General features: G+C 61.2%; 1 protein-coding gene across 18 annotated transcripts in view, besides 5 other annotated features; it reads right to left on the bottom strand.

Annotated features, from left to right (window-relative positions):
• RGS12 (regulator of G protein signaling 12) overlaps window positions 506-15,030 on the bottom strand; it is a 154,023-nt gene continuing 139,498 nt past the window's right edge. For 11 of the 18 annotated variants that reach the window (NM_001394155.1, NM_001394154.1, XM_011513543.3 and 8 more), the window contains 5 exons: window positions 14,859-14,955; window positions 12,250-12,329; window positions 11,708-11,861; window positions 9,464-10,012; window positions 506-964 (listed from right to left, as the gene is read on the bottom strand). In NM_001394155.1, coding sequence (NP_001381084.1) covers window positions 735-964; window positions 9,464-10,012; window positions 11,708-11,861; window positions 12,250-12,329; window positions 14,859-14,955 — 1,110 coding nt within the window. In that variant the 3' untranslated portion in view covers window positions 506-734. Of the gene's footprint in view, window positions 965-8,246; window positions 10,013-11,707; window positions 11,862-12,249; window positions 12,330-13,696; window positions 13,814-14,858; window positions 14,956-15,030 lie in introns of those variants that run through there. The other 7 variants (NM_001394158.1, XM_047416060.1, XM_047416055.1 and 4 more) reach the window with 3 other exon arrangements.
• Window positions 3,131-3,631: an enhancer, noted in NCBI's record as "H3K4me1 hESC enhancer chr4:3438515-3439015 (GRCh37/hg19 assembly coordinates)". NCBI's record gives its function as "activates a minimal SCP1, AML or CMV promoter by ChIP-STARR-seq in naive H9 embryonic stem cells {active_cell/tissue: H9 hESC(naive)}" and the evidence as "EXISTENCE:reporter gene assay evidence [ECO:0000049][PMID:30033119]".
• Window positions 4,177-5,075: an enhancer, noted in NCBI's record as "H3K4me1 hESC enhancer chr4:3437071-3437969 (GRCh37/hg19 assembly coordinates)". NCBI's record gives its function as "activates a minimal SCP1, AML or CMV promoter by ChIP-STARR-seq in naive and primed H9 embryonic stem cells {active_cell/tissue: H9 hESC(naive and primed)}" and the evidence as "EXISTENCE:reporter gene assay evidence [ECO:0000049][PMID:30033119]".
• Window positions 5,076-5,974: an enhancer, noted in NCBI's record as "H3K4me1 hESC enhancer chr4:3436172-3437070 (GRCh37/hg19 assembly coordinates)". NCBI's record gives its function as "activates a minimal SCP1, AML or CMV promoter by ChIP-STARR-seq in naive H9 embryonic stem cells {active_cell/tissue: H9 hESC(naive)}" and the evidence as "EXISTENCE:reporter gene assay evidence [ECO:0000049][PMID:30033119]".
• Window positions 6,350-6,849: an enhancer, noted in NCBI's record as "H3K4me1 hESC enhancer chr4:3435297-3435796 (GRCh37/hg19 assembly coordinates)". NCBI's record gives its function as "activates a minimal SCP1, AML or CMV promoter by ChIP-STARR-seq in naive H9 embryonic stem cells {active_cell/tissue: H9 hESC(naive)}" and the evidence as "EXISTENCE:reporter gene assay evidence [ECO:0000049][PMID:30033119]".
• Window positions 6,850-7,351: an enhancer, noted in NCBI's record as "H3K4me1 hESC enhancer chr4:3434795-3435296 (GRCh37/hg19 assembly coordinates)". NCBI's record gives its function as "activates a minimal SCP1, AML or CMV promoter by ChIP-STARR-seq in naive and primed H9 embryonic stem cells {active_cell/tissue: H9 hESC(naive and primed)}" and the evidence as "EXISTENCE:reporter gene assay evidence [ECO:0000049][PMID:30033119]".

Below are 15,030 nucleotides of genomic sequence, written 5' to 3'. Positions count from 1 at the left end.
TCTGAGGAGCTCACCAACCACCCTGTACCGAGGGTACTTGGCTTTAGGGGTTCCATCAAGGCAACCTGGGGAATGGCCCTGCCTCTTCCGACTCAACCCAGCCCCCAAGGCCCCGGCCTCCCCTGCAGCCACACCTGGTTCCCTTTCTGTAATCAGACCCTCCTTAGCCCCAGGGCCTTGGCACAGGCCCAGGGCTCTTTCTAGACTTCCTCTGCCGTCCAGTTGCAGTTTACATGGTCCCTCCCCAGAAAGGCCCTCAGACCACCCTGCTAAACAAGGCTGGGGCAGGGTCCCCACGTGACGGCGAGAGCCAGTCTCTGCCATCTGGTCCTGGCCCTCAGGCCCCAGGAGCCAAGCTTCCCTCTCCTCAAAGCCCCCTTGACCTTACCCTGGGGCACTTCTCCTCCTCAGGCCCCTCTGTTTCCTGCATGACCTCCTGGGGATGTGCTCGGAGTCCCCGAGAACGAGGAGTCTGTGTCCCCAGCACCCAGCACCAGGCCGACGCTTGGGTCCTCAGAAATGCTTTATTGGGCAGCAGGAGGCCAGGGCCAGGGAGCCCCATGGCCAGCATGGCGAATGTCCGGGGCCAGTGCCTCCAGCGAGGTCACCCCCTGCCCTCCTGGCTGGGCTCCTGAGGGTGTGGTGGCCAGGGTGGCCCCCCTGAGGCCCACAGAATCCACCTGGGCTGCCCCACCCCGACATGTCCACAGGAGAGTTGGCCAGGCCAGGGCAGCTCAGACGAAGGTGGCGTGGTGAGCGCTGGTCTTGGGCTTAGCAGGCTCACCCGGGACGGGGCCCAAGCCAGGGAGGTCTGATGTAGGAGGCCCACCACTGGCCTGCGACCTCCCAGGGCCAGCCTGTGCCCCCGCTATGCCACCATCCCGCCCGGGCGCCGAGCCAGTTACAAGATCCACATCGATGATTCTGTTGACTGGGAGGTCTCGGCTGCCATGGGTCCCACTTCCTGTCACAAGGAGAAGAGAAGCTGTCACTTGCCTGGCCCGGCCCTGGGCCCCCGGAACCCACCCCCTACCCCGAAGGCCCCTGCACAGACAGCATGGTAGGGGTCCCTGAAATATCCCAAACACATCCCAGAGGCAGCTGGCGTCCCGCTGTGGGCCTCCAGGCTGGGGCAGGTACGCCCAGGGGAGGTGCAGTGTTCCCAGAGCCCTCCACATAACACCTGCCACCAAGTGGGGGAGCCGACCCACTCAGAAACCCTACCACCCTGCTTCCCCACTGCAGCTCAGGAACAGAGCTGGGCCCCCGGCAGAGCCCCCGCCCCAACTGCCCCCCTAATTCCTCCTGGGGGCGTCCTCAGGGGCCCCCCCAGGCCCAGGGCCCATCCTCAAGGGCCACCCCCAGGGGGCTGAGCACTAGGGTTCAGTTCCAGATAGGCTGGACCCTCTTGGCCTGGTGGAACGGGCCCTGAGCCCTGTGTCTGCTGCCCCATCCCACCCTGCCAGGCTGGCCACCTGCTCGCCCACCTGCCTCGCTGCCTCAGCACCGTCTTCACCGTACACACCCTGCTCTGGGCCTCCCGGTCGTGTCCCCTCCCCCTCCATCCCTGGCCCCCCTACTGAGGCCCCTCTTTCCGGCTGGTCAGTGACTCTTGCCCCACTTCTGGCTCCAATGCCCACTCCAGCCCCAGGAGATCCCGGCTGCCTGAACCGGCCTTGGAAGCTTCTAGACCCAACATGGGCAGGCCATCTCCTTGCCAGCACCCCCGGGAGGCCTCCCTACCCAGGGCGTCACTGCCCTGCCACATCTGGTGACCTCCACGTGGACCCCTGGAAGACACAGTTGTGTCTATGCCAGGGTGGAGTCCCCAGGGGCCAACGAAGGCTGGGGCCAAGGAAAGTGAACGGTGCACGCAGAATGGCTGGGTTCATGTGCCGCCCGGAGCTCCATGGCAGGACCCCAGGGCCTGGGAAGGGGCAGTGAAGCCCCCGTGCTGGGAGAGCCCAGCCCTTCCCGCCCACTGACCCCACCCCCCCATCTGTACGGTGGGGGTGACGTTGCCGACCCGCCCAGTGACCCCACCCCCCCATCTGTGCGGTGGGGGTGACGTTGCCGACCCAGAGGAGCAGGCTTCGGGGGCAGGTTCCTGCGTACCTAGCGTGTCTCCTAGGCAGGGGTCCAGGAGCTCCCTTCCTCAGTGAGCCTGGGGCTGAGGCCCTGAGACAGTCATGTCCATGCCAGGGTGGAGGCCTTGAGGCGCCTATGGGGTGGCAGGAGCCCCAGGCCTGGGCCCACAGCAGACAGGAGGCAGGAAGAGCCAGCCCCCGGCACATGAGAACCAGGGACAGGGGGTCCCTGCTACCAACTGCTGCCCTCCACAGGTGAATCGAAGGCCTGGGAAGGTGAAGACCCTCCTCGATCTACAGTTCTGAGGTCCCTGAAATGGCCGCAGGGTCCTTGCTGCCCCAGCGGCTCCGTGGCCACCAAGGTCCCCAATCCCAGCGTGCCCCTCCTCACCCTCAGTCCAAGCTTCCGGAAGCAGCCTCCATGAGGCATCTGTGAACAAGTCCGGGCTGCGGGCGGAAGGTGTGACTCCCCTCTTGAGCGTGCCCAGCCCGTTCTCTTGAACAGGTCCCAGCAGTGGCCCCAGAGGCCCTCATCCTGGCCTCGACGCAGCAGCCCAGCCAGCATGTGGGAGCTGTGTGGGGCCTGTGTGTCTTACTCAGCCAGGCCCGGTGGAGATGCCATCTGGAGGCCCAGGGGTCCATGTGGAGCAGCTGAGACTAGAAACTTCTCCCAGTCAGGCCTCTGCTCATTCAACAAGTGTCCTACTAGGTTCTGCCAGGGCTAGGAGCTAGCCCTGCCCCCAGGGGACAAGGGGACAGTTCTGCCCATCTCCTTCTTGTCACCAGGTCCGCATGGCTCCAGATGCCAGGCTGCAGGGCTGGGAGATATCGTGTGGGGAGAGGCAGGGGTTTGCCCCCTCTCGCCGGTCAATACCGTGGGCATTTGGGCATTTGCCTGGAGTGTTCATAGGGCTCTGAAGGGGCCTGCAACACCACACATGTCCAGAAGCCCGGCTCTACCCCGCCAGCCCCACATGGACAGATGGGAGGACAGGCCCCTGAGGGCCCCAGGAAGCTAGTGTGCTCAGGATGGAGAAACACTTGTTTCTGGAGACAGGACAGCTCTGTATGGACCAAGGATGTCCACATCACAAGGAGGGGGCCACAGCCAGGCCCTTCCTGCCTACGGGAGCCAGCCTCGCCCTCCTGTGCAGGGCAGCCAGCCCCAGGCCTGTGACTCAGCTGCCTGGCCCCGCCCTGAGCAGCACGCTGCCTCACCACCTACATGCCAGGGCCTGCCCGGGGAGCACCTTCTTGCCCAGCATTTCCCTGGCAGGGATGGCAACACAGAGGACCCAGCAGAGCCTGCACCACCTCCAGAGGGGCCTGGCCTCCTGGTCTCACTCCTGGTGCCACATCTCCAAACATCCAGACCTGAGGCCACACTGGGATCTTGTTCCCTGCCGCTTGGGCCACCTGTGAACCTCTCCCCGGCGCCCCACGGCTCCCTGCCCTCGGCTGGCTGGTCCTGCCGGCTCCGACTGTGCTGTCCAGCCTTCCCAGGAGGGGGTCCTGCTGGAGGCCCCACAAGATGCAGCAGGAAGGCCCCTCTTTCCACATGCGCAGGCCCCTCACCGGCTGCCGGTCGCCCCCAGGCCTCCCAGACACTTGTCCATGAATGTCTCTGTGCCAGCCACTGCCAGCTGCTCTGGCCTAGGCCTGGGGCAGGACCCCGCCCCACCCTGGTCCTCAAAGCTGAGTCAGGAACCCTGGCAGGCACAGCGGGAGCAGGGGCTGCACTGGCCTGGCCGGGGCAGGGGCATGGCCTGAACTCTCCCAGGCTCTCCTTCGAGACCCAGGCCTGGCACCTCTCCCACTGCCCGCCCTTCCTGCCCCCCGAGGGACCCCGTCCCCCAGGCACTTTGCTCAGCCTCTGCCTCCATGCTCCACATCATCTGTGCTGCCAAGCGCAGCCACCTCCTCTGTGAAGCCTCCCCAGCGCCCCTTGGAAGCTCGCAGGGCACAAGGACACCCAGGCAAGGCTGAGCCGGCTCACACTGAGAACACGGCAGGAAGGGGGGAGCGAGGGGAGCCAGAGGCGGGGACCCTACAATCCACTGTGGCTCCCAAGGCCCCTTCCCTTCCCAGCCTTCCCACCACAGCGCACCCCACGGGCTCCTGCTAAGGCCTGTGCACTCCTGCTGATGGGCCCCCATGGGAACGAGAGCACCCCCAGAACCTTAGTTCCAGAGTGTGACCCCCCCAAGGTCCCCCTGTCCGTGTGGGTCCCCAGCCAGGATCATGACTGTGTGTGATGGGCTGGGGCTGGGATAGAGCTCCTCAAATATTTGCTGGGCATTGGCGAGGGAGTGGACAGCGCCCAGCAGGGTGCACAGTGTGGTGAGTGGGGAATAGGGGAGTGGGGAATAGGGGAGTGGGGGTGACTGAGGGCACAGGAGTGCATGTGGCAGACCCCAGGGAGGGGCTTCAAGCCGGAGCTCCAGCAGTGCGGGCTGAGATGGGCACAGGTGGCCAGTCCTGGAGGGAACATGGGGGTAGGCCAGGTCACAGTCACTTGCAGGCCTGAGACTTCCACTCTGCAAGACCTGGCTGGAACTTCAGGTGGAAGGCAGACACTTCAGGGGAGGAGGGGGAGCAACCTAGGGTGGCTTCTGGTGGGATCCGGGAGGACCACGTGTCACAACCAGGCTGGGGGCTGTGGAGGAGGGCCGAGGCCAGCTGGTCAGTTCAGGAATCCCCTGGGGAGCCACGGAGCTGGGCAGGAGCCAGGAGATGCTGGGGGGAGACAGGGCTCTGGGGAGACGGGGCTCTGGAGAGAGGGGGCTCTAGGGAGAGGGGGCTCTGGGGAGAGGGGGCTTTGGAGAGGCACCTAGCAGATGCCCTCAGCAGCTTTGCAGGCCTGAGACCAGTGGCAGGCTCCTGGGGCTGTGTCCCCAAGAAAACCAGCGGTCTCAATCCACATCAGAGTGAGGGGGTCTAAGCTGCATCTGCTCCTGCGGAGGGCGGGGCACGGGAGCTGCCGAGGAGGCCTCTCTTGGACAGAGCAGGAGCCAGGTGGGGCTGCATCCTCACCCGGTACAACACAATGGCCATGCCATGGGGGGTACTTTCACCCCCAGGGTGAGGGGCGTGACCTCACTTCCAGGCTGCAGAAGCCCCGGCAGGCAAACATCGCACATCTGGCAGGTAGCTGAGCTCCGGGGGCCCTGAGGGCAGCCACTGGGCCCAAAAGTGTTCCTAGGGGATACTGGCAGCTGTGACACTGGGGCCTCCAGGTTGAGTGACCCCTGAGCCCGCCCAGTGAGCTGCCCCAGGGGACCCCAGCCCCAGGAGAGCTATGCGGGGACCCCTCCTGGGGTGGTGCCTAGCATCTCCCTGCCGGCAGGTGGAGTCCATCCTCTTGGGATGTCTGCACCAGGAGCTCAGTCAGGCCATGGGGCTGGGTACTCAGCCTTACCAAAGGGGCTGGGAGGAGCCACTGGCCTCCAGCCCCCAGCCAGGACCCCTGACTGTCGCCTTGCAGCCAGCAGGGCAGCAGTGAGACCACCCAGCTCCCGGGCTTTTTGTTGGAAACGAAGCAGATCTGGTTAAGAAAGCAATTGGGAATTATTACCAACACAACCGTAAGAACCCGTTTTAAGATGGCGCGTACAGAAGGAGCACTGTGCATTGGAAACTCGGGTGTGGGTGCACGCGACCTTTTGAATGCCTCTCTCCTTTGTGAAAACACAAAGCGCAGACGTCTGCTTCTGTGCAGGGGTGGAAGATGACTGCTAAAGGCGGGACACAGCAGTGCTGGAGGGACAGCTGCTCCCTCCCCACGAGAACAGAAGGTGAGCATTTTGGAGGGTCCCTGTGTCGAGACACAGATATGCACAAAACGTGCCATGCAGACACATGGCAGGTGCACACACCGACACATGCCACACGAACACACACCAGGCATGCACGCACATGGGTATATCTGCCTGACACACTGATATGGTTTGGCTCCGTGTCCCCACCCAAACCTCACCGTGAATTGTGATAATCCCCCGGTATCAAGGGTGGGACCAGGTAGAGGTGACTGGATCATGGGGGCAGGTCCCCCCATGCTGTTCTCATGATAGTGAGTCTCAGGAGAGCTGATGGTTTTATAAGCGTCTGGCATTTCCTCTGCCGGTTCTCGTACTCTCTCCTGCTGCCCTGTGAAGAGGTGCCTTCTGCCATGACTGTAAGTTTCCTGAGGCTTCCCCAGCCATGCAGAACTGTGGGTCAATTACACCTCTTTTCTTTATAAATTACCTAGTCTTGGGTATTTCTTCATAGCAACATGAGAACGGCCTCATACACACAGCACTGTGTGGACACATGCACACCTCTGCCAGCGTGCCCTGGAGCCTCACGAGGGGCCTGACACTTCTCCCGCTTGAGGCCTCTGTTGTGTGTGTCAGACAGCTAAGGCTCAGGGCCATTAGACTGGGTGGCCTGGCAGCAAGTGGCCAAAGGGAAAGGAGACCCACCCACATGCCTCCCGGGACCAGACATGCATGGGGGCACCGGCCAGCCTGCATGGTGCATGGTCTCGGTCTCGGTGCGTGGTGCTGGGGCTAGACAGACGGGGTGGAGTGCCGCGTGGCGTGTGGCGCTGGGGCTAGAAGCATGGGGCGGTGCGGTGCATGACGCTGAGGCTAGAAGGGCGTGGTGGAGCACCACGTGGCGCAGGGGCTGGAACAGGGTGGCATGGCACGTGGTGCTGGGGCTAGGATGGGGTGGTGTGGCATGTGGCACTGGGGCTAGGACAGGGTGGCATGGCACGTGGTGCTGGGGCTAGGATGGGGTGGTGTGGCATGTGGCATTGGGGCTAGGACAGGGTGGCATGGCACGTGGTGCTGGGGCTAGGATGGGGTGGTGTGGCATGTGGCACTGGGGCTAGGACAGGGTGGCACAGTGCATGGCACTGAGGCTGGAAGGGCAAAGTGGTGTGGCACAGCTCTGTGGAGACTCCCCCTACCTCAAGGCTGTTGCTGGCAGCCCCCACGCGTAGCCGGCATGCTGCCCACCATGGCAATGGGGAGGGCGGGAGCCCGTGGGCTTGGCTACACCTCCTGTTGTGTTTCTCACCCCGGACGCTGGGTCCAGGGCGGCTGCCACATTGTGAGGAAGCATCCCACAGCAACTGTCAACGTCGGAGAGCGTGACCCGGGATGACCCCCAAGCTCCTAAACCCTGAAAACGGACAGGTCAGCACTCAGTCCAGGCTCGCCCCGGCCCACAGATGTGAAAGAGGTTCCATCAGGCCACCACGGCATTCACAGCCTGTTTCCTTTGCCGCCATGGGCAGGTGAACTCTCCAATACAGAGAATCCCATTAGAGTGGGGGTTCCAGAAGCAAGCTGCACAGAGCAGTTTCTGTCCCAACGCCCCCCAGCAGGCTTGAGCCAACATCACAGGAAGACTGGGCAGGTCCTCAGCAGTTGTCCTGTGTCGCCACGGACAGGCACGTGGAGGACACACACCTACGACCTATGGCCAAAGCCACTCCCACCTCCTTCTCCCACTCACTGGGTCTCCTCCTAGGAGACAGCCCAAGAGCCAAGGATCCAGGGTACCCACCTGCCCAGGGGCTGAGGAGCCAGCGGGGCGGGGAACCAGTTCTGGCCAGTGGCAGTCGGGGCAGCCACCAGAGCGCAGGGGGACCTGCTCCTCCCAAGGCCGGTACCACCCACCCTCCTGCCACAAACAAGTCAGGGATGTCAGCCGGGGCGCTCAGCTGGGCCTGCGCTGTAAACCACCTCTGTGCTAATGGCCCTTGGCAGGCAGGAGAACTGACCCCCCACGTGGGTCTGTCTGGCCCTCCCAGGCAGCCTGACACACGCCACACCTGTGCGCAGAGCCAGCCACAGCCCCAGGGCTGCAGGGCCGGGGTGTGGGTGCGGGACTGCAGCCCGAAGGCCAGCAGGCCAGCTCATCTCAGCACCCGCCACCGGGCCACCAGCTCTTCTGCTGTCCCGCCGCACAGCTGTGCTGCTGGGAGCACACCAGGTGCTCAAGAGTTTTGTTCAGTGGATGGTATATTTTTAAAAGCCAGTAGATTACGGTAAATCCACTTAATCTCCTAAAAATGTGTGATATTTCCCCTAGATTAAAATACTTTTATTATTTTCTAAAGTGGAAACAAAGTTTCAAATGAGAAAGAAAAGTTGTAAGCCAGTCCAGTGATGATGTCCAGAATTTATTACTCCTGGAAGAACAGACTCAAAACGCAGGTGAGAGCCACACAGGTGTCCACCAAGACGGATGGAGGGGGACTCAGGCCAGGGGTGGAGGCTGCAGAGTGGCACCGGTGGGCATGCCAGGCACCTCAGGCTTTCTCATCCAGGCGTGTCCTGGCTGTGAAAGGGACCAGGTAGCCCCTCCCATGCCACACGTGGCCTCCAAAGGCCCAGATATGTACAGATCTACAGACGTGCACTCCCTGGTCCCCCGGCGAGGTCCAGGCTACAGGTCTGACAAGACCAAACCTCACGGCAGGCCTCTCACTGCTGTCAGCATCCTGGACCAGGGCACAGGACGGAGAGGCGCTCCCATCGCCCCCAGCAGCAAACCACAGCAGAGGTGTCCACGCACCCCTGAGCACACTCCATGACGCGCACCCTGAGCGGCTCCTCTCTCCAGGGGATGGCCACGCAGGCCACGGCCCTCGGACCCCTGGAAACACCTTTCCCTACCGGCTGCTGGGAGCCTCGCCTCAGTTTCTGGTATTTGTGGCTCACGGAAACATCCCTGCTGCCAGGCCATCCTGTTCACCTTCACACTCACTGAATCCCCTGCTTCCTTTGAGAAATGCCCGTGACACCCGCGGTCAGAGAGCGCTGCTGACGTCACCTCCACTCCCGAGCACCCACACCACCTGCTACGGGGGCCGCCGGTGGGTCCGAGCTGCACTCTCAAGGCTCTTCCGAGGACGGGCCTGTGTCTGGGAGCCCTCTCCTGCTATGAACACAGCGGGCTTCACTTCCTCACTCAAGACAAATGCTATTGTTTTCCAGTCTTGAGACAGAAACACTAAAAACGATCGCTGTCCAGATTTGGAAAGGAATGCCTCCATTTTCGGAAACCCCCAGGCCTCACCCAGGGTGTTCCCAGACCTCGCTGCAGGCACTGCCACGTATCATTCCTGCAAGAGCCTCTCAGGACACCAGGATGCCTGCCCAGAGCGCCTCGGGGGGACCATCCTGACAGACACTGGCCTGGGGCCACACGAGCCCCTCCTTTCCAAGAGGGCCAAGGAAGCCCCCAACCAGCAGGTGAGGAGGGGGTCACGGAGACCACCAGCAAACAGTGGCAGCCGGGGGCCCACTGTCCTTTCTGACTGGAAGCTGAGCAGACCACGCTTACGGGGCCAAGGTGGAGGGATCAGAACCTGGAGGTACCTGGTCTGGAAGGTCCTGGCACTTCCTGGGGGGTGGAGGGCGGCGGCAGCAAGGTGCTGTTGGGGCTGCTGATGTCCCCCTCCCCCATCAGGGTCAGCTCGGCCACGTGCTCATCCTCCACCGTCTGGATGCCCCCGGCCTCCACTTCCTGAGACTGCCTCTTCCAGATCTGGGCGGTGCCCTCCTGCGCGAGGGAGACGGGGGACTGGGGAGTGCAGAAGGGCCCGCTGGGAGACTTCTGCCCGGGGGGGGTCGTCCCAGGAGGTCCAGGGGGGCTGGAGGCTGAGCCCGGGCTGGTGGACGGGCTGTCGCTGCTCTCCTGGACTGGCTCCCACTGCTCGCCAGGCTGGGAGGCGCTCTCCCGGCCGTTGCCTGTGGCGCTTCTCTTGCTAAAGCCCTTGGCCACAGCAGCTGGAGTGGGGAGGGTGAGTTCTGTGGAACCAGGAGGTAAACGGAGGAACTCTGGCAACACCAGGTCTTCCTTCCTTAGCAGCCCACGTTGGTCATCTGCTCTGTTGCTCTGAGCTTTGGAAATAAGCTCAAAAAACTCTATTGGAAGAAAACCCAGAGTGACCGTGTTTTAGAGAGTTTCACATTAATGACTGTCACCGCAGAACATTCTAGAAAGCTCTCATCCTGGGCTGTCCTAACACCCTATCAGCTGTGGGTCAACAAGAGCCCTTTTCCGTCCACACTATCTTCCCACAGACAGCGGAAGGGACAGCCCTGGGGCTTCTAGCATACTCTGTCTTCAGGAGTCTGAAAAAGCTGTGTACTCCCTAAAAACCACGCTGTGTGAGGTCCAGACTTGAACAAACGAGACGCTTGACTCAACACGGTTACGCGCTGATGCCGTCTGAGTAGGAAACTGTGGGACTCTCTGGCCTGGGCTTTCAATTTAACACTTGGGGCCCTCTGAGGACTGGCCCCCTCCTCCGGTTGGTCAGCATCTGAAGCACCCGCCCGGGTCCCAGCTGCAGCTGCAGTCCTCAAAGTCGGGAGCAGAATGAACCCGAGGAGGGGTGGTAGAGGAAGGCCCTGAGACGGGTGGTCTGGGAAGGGGCACCCTCAAATCCACGCCTGCCTCTCGGGGTCACTGCCTCTGGGCAGAGGGTGGTCCTCCCAGGCCTAGGGCAGAGGGGGGCAACACGTGCTCTCCCTCTCCGCACTGAAGCTCCACAGCCCCGAGGGGCCAGGACGGGTGCCCCTGGGCCTCCCACTGCCCAGCCACTGTGGGGGCCTGCAGGTGCCTCCAGCTTCTTGGCTGGCTCCTCCAGAACTCTCCTTTTCTTACCTGGGCTGGGTTTTCTAGTGTAGCAGGCCCCAAGGCCACCATTCGAGGTAGATGGCGTCTAAACTGGGCTTTCTCTAGCATTGGAATTATACTCGGAGTTTTTAACAACTACAAGGAACCTCAAATCTCTGACTTCACTGGTTCTCAGAAACATACAAGCTTCAAAGAGGGCGTGTGATTTACTTGTGCTCGGTGGCCAACAAAGGCTGGAGGTGTGTTTTAGTTTTACCGTGAGGTCAGACTCCACAGCCAGCTGTGACAAAGCCGTGACACGCCAGGTGGACTGGCAAGTACGCCCTGGATGAAAATTCAGGTCACGGTGACAGCTGCTGGTTTTGACTCTGTTTTCAATGCTTCTCCTTGTTATAAACTTCTGGAGAAAAAGGAGCTTCAAGAAAGGACTCATCTCTCCATCTCAGTCTTCCAGTGTGCCTGTTGTCTCTCCTGGAGGCCAGGGGTGTGCAGGCTGACCTTCCTCACTGACCCCCGCAGCCAAGAGAGCTCAGCAAGCCCACGGTCCTTCCAGACCAGTGTGCTCCACCTCCCCTCACCTGGGTGCCCAGCTCTGCCTAGGGTGGACTCTCTAATGCTAACTGTGCCTCCAGTCACGCTGGGGACCCTGGCACAAGCCAGTGGTGGGGCCATAGGGAGGAGCTGGGGTGAGAGGGAGGCAGAGCCTGCGGGGGCCTCTGGCATCTCAGGGCAGACAGTGCTGCTCACATCGGCTGCCCCTGATGCCCTAGGAGGCCTGGCACTCAGTCTCAAAACTGGGGTTTCGGTGGAGTGATCCCAACAGCCCACAGACTGCCCCCGGGAGAAACATGTCTTCCAGGCCACAGGGACGGACCGCAGTCACCCAGATGCTGACAGCTCAAAGCAGATCTACTGACTATACTGGAAACTAACTGTGCATTTACTAAAAACGTGGAAGTTTTAAAAAGTTCACATACCCTCTGCTTCGTCCAAATTAATTTTCTGATATTTTTTTTTCCCAATCTTTGCAATAGATTCTTCTCTCTTTGAAAGCCGGGGATCCCTAGCATTTTTTCCATTTTCTCCTTTTATTTTAATAGAATTAGACTTGCCTAGTGTTCTTTCCTCTCCCTGCATTAGAAGGAAAGTCAAAGTTCTACTTTCATTTCAATACACGACAATACATCATTCATTAGTTAGAGAGTAGAAGGCTCTATGAAATAGATTGCATTGATACAGAATTTACATGCATTGCAGAAAAACCATTGCAATGATAAGGATTACAAACAAGAATAGCATTTAAGGCACAACCACTCCCACCTCAGAAGAAAAGAAAGCCAGTCCTTCACAGGTAAGAGGGAGCTGGGCATCGGCAGGGACGAGAGAGACCCCGCCAAGGAGCGTGGGGGAGACACACAGTGATAAGCAGGCGGTAAGGAAGCACCAGGGCACTGCGCAGGGCAGGCGGGGGCCACAGCGAGAGGAGCAGGGCACAGGGTGGGCCAGGGTGGGGAATTACCGTAGCCGAGTGGTTTCTGGAGCTGGAATTTACAGCTGTGTTCTGTTTCACTGGCACACCTTTCTGTTTATCTGCGGATGCTAAACATAAGAAAGCTTTATGACTTCAGGGACTCGCAAATCCATCTGAATGTTTCATAGACAACCTGCTCCTACTGTCTCTGAGAGCAAAGCTGTAGAGAAGCCACAAGGCATCTGCTGCCCTTATTCACCACGCACAGCCCTGAGGGGAGTCCCCATGGGACAGGAGAGAGGGCCCGTCCTCCACGCACACAGCCGGGCTCCGTACATCTAACTAGGGACTTGCTGGAGGAGTGATGTTGAAATTGAAAAGCTCATTTCATATACTATTTGGCATAAATATTCTCTAGAAAGTCAGAGTCTTACATTTATGACATATTTTCTTTCTCTTTTCTTTCTTTTTTTTCTTTTTTTGAGACAGAGTCTCACTCTGTCTCCCAGGCTGGAGTGCAGTGGCACGATCTCGGCTCACTGCAACCCCCGCATCCTGGGTTCAAGCAATTCTCCTGCCTCAGCCTCCCATGTAGCTGGGATTACAGGCATGTGCCACCACACCCAGCTAATTTTTGTATTTTTAGTAGAAACGAGGTTTCACCATGCTGGCCAGGCTGGTTTCGAACTCCTGACCTCAGGTGATCCACCCACCTTGGCCTCCAAAAGTGCTGGGATTACAGGCATGAGCCACTGTGCCAGTCCATGACATATTTTCAAATACAGCCTTTGCCCCATGCCAGGGCCACAGGCTGGCCTCTGCTGGCACTAACGGCCTCAAGCCCATTTCTGTGGCCCAAATGTGACTGGAGGAGTCGCGCTCCTGCCCCACATACAGCCCTACAAAAACGCTGAGCGCCAAGCTCCACCACAGGACTTGCCTGTACACAAACAAGCCCCGAGGCCCAGCAGGCCCTGGGCACAGAGGGTCAGCCGGGGCAAAGCTGCTGGCCGCCCTGCTGGGTTACACATGCTGTGCCTGCCCCACCTGCCTGGGTGGGTGTCAGGGCCCAGCGTAAGGCTTTCCCTAGAGCAAAGGGTGGGCTCGGGGAAGGGTCTCTGCTCTGTGAGGAGTTGGGGAGGGGAGCAAGAGTTGGAGCTCCAGGACTAATGGCCTCAGCGCTTGCTTCTGACTGGGACCCATGGCCCAGGTCTCCCTGGGTGGGGACAAGTGAGCCACGTGCTCCCTGCGTGACATCATCAGGGCCAACAACCTGAAAGGCAGAGGGGCAGCCCAATGTCACCTGAAGTGGCTCCTCACAAAGTGAGCTCTCTACCTAGAACATCTGCAGGTGGGTTTCCAGAAAGCTCTTTCCAAGACACACCTCCCTACGGCACCTGCACCTGCAGGCCCCAAGGCCACGCCTCTGCCTGTCCCTGGGGACAGCTACAAACAGGACCCACCCTCCTGGGTCTGAGTAACCTTCCTCACGCACGGTTCTCAACAAGGGCTCTAAGGAGGGCCGGCTCCTGCGCGTCAGGATGAGGTGGGGGCCGGGCGACGAGCCCATCTCCGAAGGCTGCTGGCCGGACCCAGCTTCCCCAGGGCAGGACTGTCATGACCAAGGCAACACGTTGGAAAGAGCTCTGTCGACCGCCCGATTCCCTGCACGCAAGGAACTGCAGAACCAGCCCAAATGACCGAGCCTGCAGCCTCCATTTTGCCGGGCAGAGCACAGGCGCCTACTGCCCTGGCTTCCTGTTTTGTGCCTGGAGGGAAGGGCGCCAGATCAGGGCACCAAGGAGGGACCAGGGGGCCCAGACCAATTCTCTTTTGTGTACTAACTCCAAAGCCTCCCCCTCCCCTGGGCCAGCCCCGCCTGCCCTCTCTCCTGCACAAGCCCCACTCACCCCCTCCCCTGCACTGGCCCCGCTCGCCCTCTCCCCTATGCCAACCCCACAGCCCCCTCCCCTGCACTGGCCCCACTCGCCCTCTCCCCTATGCCAACCCCACAGCCCCCTCCCCTGCACTGGCCCCACTCGCCCTCTCCCCTATGCCAACCCCACAGCCCCCTCCCCTGCACTGGCCCCACTCGCCCTCTCCCCTATGCCAACCCCACAGCCCCCTCCCCTGCACTGGCCCCGCTCGCCCTCTCCCCTGTGCCAACTCCACAGCCCCCTCCCCTGCACTGGCCCCGCTCACCCTCTCCCCTATGCCAACCCCTGCCCCCTACCCTGTGCAGGCCCCACAGCCCCCTCCCCTGCGCTGGCCCCACTCGCCCTCTCCCCTGTGCCAACTCCACAGCCCCCTCCCCTGCACTGGCCCCGCTCACCCTCTCCCCTATGCCAACGCCACAGCCCCCTCCCCTGCACTGGCCCCGCTCGCCCTCTCCCCTATGCCAACGCCACAGCCCCCTCCCCTGCACTGGCCCCGCTCACCCTCTCCCCTATGCCAACGCCACAGCCCCCTCCCCTGCGCTGGCCCCACTTACCCTCTACTCTGTGCAGGCCCCGCCCACCCCCTCTCCTGCGCAAGCCCCACCTGCCCCTCCCCTGCACTGGCCCCACTCACCCCCTCCCCTGCACCGGCTCCATAGCCCCCTCCCCTGCACTGGACCCACTCACCCTCTCCCCATCCGCTGCACCAGCCCTACTCACCCTTTCCTCTGGAAGGATCCTTCTCCTCCAAGACAACCCGCTGTCCGTCCAGACTCGATATAGGGGCGCCAAGGTCCAGGGGCTCCTTCTCTCCACTCTAGGGCAGAGATCAGCACTGAATAATTTACCCAGACTGGAACTTCAGGGAACAGATGTGTGTGATCCCACCCGA

This window comes from Homo sapiens, chromosome 4 (assembly GCF_000001405.40).
Source record: "Homo sapiens chromosome 4, GRCh38.p14 Primary Assembly".
NCBI lineage: Eukaryota > Metazoa > Chordata > Mammalia > Primates > Hominidae > Homo > Homo sapiens.
This window is presented reverse-complemented; position numbering and strand designations above follow the sequence as displayed.